Source organism: Homo sapiens, chromosome 1 (assembly GCF_000001405.40).
Source record: "Homo sapiens chromosome 1, GRCh38.p14 Primary Assembly".
Lineage (NCBI taxonomy): Eukaryota > Metazoa > Chordata > Mammalia > Primates > Hominidae > Homo > Homo sapiens.
Genome location: NC_000001.11, coordinates 118,484,710 through 118,489,233, shown reverse-complemented (window position 1 = coordinate 118,489,233; position 4,524 = coordinate 118,484,710). Strand labels below are relative to the sequence as shown.

General features: G+C 39.7%; 1 annotated feature.

Moving 5' to 3' along the window:
* Positions 1,902–3,831: an enhancer, noted in NCBI's record as "VISTA enhancer hs1428". NCBI's record gives its function as "enhancer in: somite[5/9] | limb[9/9]" and the evidence as "EXISTENCE:transgenic organism evidence [ECO:0001131][PMID:17130149]".

Sequence of the window (4,524 nt, the reverse complement as noted above, 5' to 3'; positions counted from 1 at the left end):
AAAGAGCAAAATGAAGCACTACAAAGCTTTGCCCACAGGAGTGTGAGATCTTGACTGAGTGATTTGACCAGCGCTGGGAGACTGAGGGTATGACAAAAGTTTTGTGTGGATTGGTGCTGGCTTATATCCATGAGGCTTGCAGGAAGGTGGCAGGGCAAGACTCTCTTCTTCTCAGTCACAGCTCAAACCCTTTATCCCATACACATGAACTTCATTGAGCTAAAGCTGTACAACAGTGCAGGCTTGATTTATGAGGGCTGTGTTTTTTCCCTGATCCTGGCTGGCACAGTGCTGGAGGATTTGCTTTTATGTGTCCACGTCAAGGGGCAAGTGGTGGCCAGCTGTTGGAAACTGGTTTAAGAAAATAATAAAAATAAAAATACCCATGGACTATCCCGTCATTCCAGGTTTCTGGTACCTGCCATCAGCCTTGGAATAAATAGGGGAGACTTTCCCCCCTTGCAATGAGATATATCTATGACAAATACATTTATATTGTGCTGGAATGATTGCTAAGTACCAAGGGGTCTTGCCTGAGAGCTAGTTAATAATTGAGATTGTTAGAATAATAACTCACATGATCCTCACCCCTTTTATTCCTGAAGTGTCCCTAAGTACCACATATACAATATACTCCCAAGTTTTGTGCTTCTGCTAATTCAGCCACCTCTGGAGTGGAATTTTACATCTGAGAGAGACTGGTTGCAGGGAGCAGCAGAACCCTACAAGCTCAGCACCCAGGTGAGGGGTTAGGGTGGGGCAGAAGCCAATGGCAGAAAAAAATACGACTGCTTGTTTTGGGGTAGTGGCACTTCACACACACGAGCAATTTTGTAGAGAGGGAAGAGGAAAAGTATCTTCAGTGACCATGATTCTCTAAATATCCTGAGTCACAGATCCTTTGTAAGCATTTTGTGTACTGTATATGTAATACATGTCAACCACCTCAGGGCATTCATTTACTTATTTGTTTGTAATTTTTTGTTGCATACTTTCAGAAAAGATGTAAGAAGGCTAGCAAGGAAATACGAGAAGAAGAAGTCAGTTAACATTTAAATAGAAGATAAAAATCACGTAGACTGAGGGGAAAAATAAACATATCAAAACCATAAGTCAGCATTTGTCAACCAGTTAATCAGTCAATTAGTTCTGCTGGATTTAATAGGTATTTCTTGAAAAGGCTGTTCTATAATCAAACAAATTAAGCAACTCTGGGTGGAAAAAAGCTAAACAGGTTTTTTTATTGTTAAATTCCCCAGATCCTTTAATTTACTAAAAAGTACTATAAACTTCCAAGAGAGGGATACCACTACATGCTCTTTTCATAGGGTTATGTAGAACAGACTTTGTAAAAAATGGACCTATGCCAGAATGATTTCTGAAACAGAGCAGCAAATGTAATTTGCCTTGAGAATCAGCCAAAAAGGACATTTATGATGAAGGAATATTTTCTGTCTCTTTTAGGTAAGAATGAACCGTATTCTTGAAAATAAATTTGCAAGTGATTTACTTAATAATCCTGTATTCAAAGGGTATTAAATACTATGACGAGTCATGAGCAGTGACTTCCCAGAAAAGGGCAGGCATTCTTTCATTATGGCCATTTCTTGTTTCGACCCATAGCACAACATGAAAAACATTGGAGAAGGCATCACATTTTTAAAAATACAAGTTCCTAGAAAGTAGATGAAGCACAGGACACTTAGTAAAATTTGAATTTTAGATAACCAGCAAATTTTTAGTATAAGTGTGTGCAAATGTTAGGTAGGACATACTTATACTAGTACAAAATTACTCAATCTTTAGTTGACATTCAAATTTAACTGGGTGCCCTGAATTTTTACTTGTGAAATCTGGCAACTCTACTAAAAGGTCAAGGTCTGAGTCGTACATTTGAATCATCCAGAAGCCTCGACTATGCACTAATCACCATGCTTGGCATTGCCATAGCCTTCTTTCAATTGACCCACTCTGATTAGAGCGTCTACAAGTTGTCAAATCTGTCTTCACCTGCCCCACCACCAAATCTCAGGAGTTCAAGCCCTTATCTCTGCAATTCCCTGGGGAAATCGTCTTGCTAACCCGTTGGAATAGTCTCAATTTGGCACTCAGCCTTTCAGTTCCCTGGAGTTGATGGTCAGCCTTAGGAGGGAACATTTATTTGGTTGTCATGGGCCAACGAAGATTTTGCCTGCTAGGCAAGCACCCCAATATTTATCGCGCCATCTCTGTAGTATATTACTAGCCTTTTATGCCTTCTCTGTCACTTGTTGAAATGAGAACGCAAGGTCTCTGGGCCTCTGCAGCCCTTTCTCTTACATTAACTTAAGTCACACCAGATGTGGGCCTTTACTGCTTAGGAAGACTAATTGATTTCACCAATCACAATACTGCTATTGTTTTAATTTTTTAAAACACAAATAAACACTGTGGTGGGTTTTCTCCTCTTTCTCTCTCATTCCTCTTGCCAAAAAAGCCAAAGGTTATTCAACTAAGGCATCCAAAAGTGTAACAAAAATCCATAGATGGAGTACAACTACTGCTAAAGAAGAAGAAAAGAAAAGAAAAGAAAGAAAGGAGGAGGATAAAGAGTTGTAGGGAAGAGGGAAGGAAGCCTCTTGGGGCCCAGCAGTAACTCTGATGGATGACTGGGGTGTGTAAGCCGTTATTTGTTATGTGAGTGCAGGGAGATGGCAGCTGAGCTGAGCAATACACCTGCTGGGCTCCAAGAAGCCAAAACAGCTGCATGCATTGATTTAGAAGCTTGCTACTTGGGGCTCCAGGAACGAATCAAGCGACAGCTCATAAAAAAAGAGGGTTTTATGATTTCCCCCCCCTTTCTATAAGCAAACAGCCACATCATATGTTTTCCTAACACGGTCATAACTCAAAATTAAATCCCAGCCCAAGGTGTCAGCCTGGTGCCATGTCAGGATTGTAACGGCTTGTTTTAGAGGTCGCCATGGAGACGATGGAGGAAGGATGGGGGGTTGGTTCAGGGAAGTGAGAGGGGGTACAAGGTTCTCTTTGCCTCAGTGTGGCTTAGGCACTTAAGAACAATTAGTTGTTTTATGTTAAAGAAGTGAGAAAACGAGCTGAGAAAACTAGCAGTATTTTGTTGGTGATTTTATGCTATTGTAATTACAGCCTCTAATTTATATTGTTAAAATGCAAAGTACAGTCCCACTAGGAAACCATTCCTGCCAATGTGAGTAAAGAGCAAGAGTAGTGGGGCATGTTCTTACAGGCAGCCTGTATCCTTGCACATTCCAGAACTGCTCCTTGATTACATGGCATGGAGCCAAAATACTTAAATGTTGAATGAAAGTGTTTAGTTGTGAAATAAAAAAAAGAGAAGCCACTCAAAAGGGCTATCAAATTACCCCAAAGCTCCAGCATGAATATGCACAATCAAGGTACTATGGATCAGTGATGTCAGACATATGTAGGCCAATGCTCACCCCAAAGGTGATAACAGTCTGCATGGAGATAAGGAGGCAGGTAAGCTCTTCTGTAGGGTTTGATAGTACCATGGATTTTATTCATTTGTTAAGTAGTTACTGAGCATTAGATAGTTTAAATGCTGTAATGAATGTTCATAAATGAACAAAAGAAAGAAAGAAGTAGTAAATGAAAAACATATATGTATACCTCATTGCTAATAGTTCTGTAACAGCATACTCATGGCAAAGGAGAATAATATATTGCTATTCTTTTAAAGCCCAAATCACCAAGTCTCTGCACAATCCCCAAGGTTCAGACTTAAGGTTAGGCTCTTACCTTCACATTTTTGCTTGCAGAGAAGTCATCCATCAACCTGCTCTCTGCCATTACTCAGAAGACAACATATCTCCAGCCAACCTCTCCCCTGAATTCTCATTCTGCATCTCCAGCTGCCTAGACTACATTTCACTTAAATTTCACATTACCTTTTGAACTAATTATGCCCCTCTTCTTCCCTAAATCAATTTTTCCCTTCCTTTTCTGCTCTTAATTCTAGCACCATACTAGTCTTAGTCACTAAAGCTCAAAACATCAGTCACAACTTTGGTTTTCCTTCCTAGATTCAAACTGACAGCACATACTCTCCCTCCTTCTTTTACAATGTCTCTCACGTCTATAACTTCCTTCTTATCTCTGCTGTCATTTTGAATTTCAGGACCATATTACCTCATCCATCAGCTAGCTGCAGCCATAGCTTCCCATTCCATCTTTCTTCCTCTAGCCTCCAAGCCCCAATTCCATCCAGCACTTAGAGCATATCCAATCCCTTGCTGCAGGGCAAATTTATCCAATTATGACATGCTTTCAAAAGCTCCCTCACTTCCCACAGAATAAAATACAGATATTGTCATCTAACATTTAAGGAACAATCTTGGCTTTATACTTCCATTTCCTACTGGTAACATATAAATTACTGAATTAGCAAAAGTAATATTAAATAATCATAAAATTATCAAATAGATGTATTCATCACTTTACTGAGCAGTTAACATATTTCTCCTCTTCTTAGAGCATTCTTAT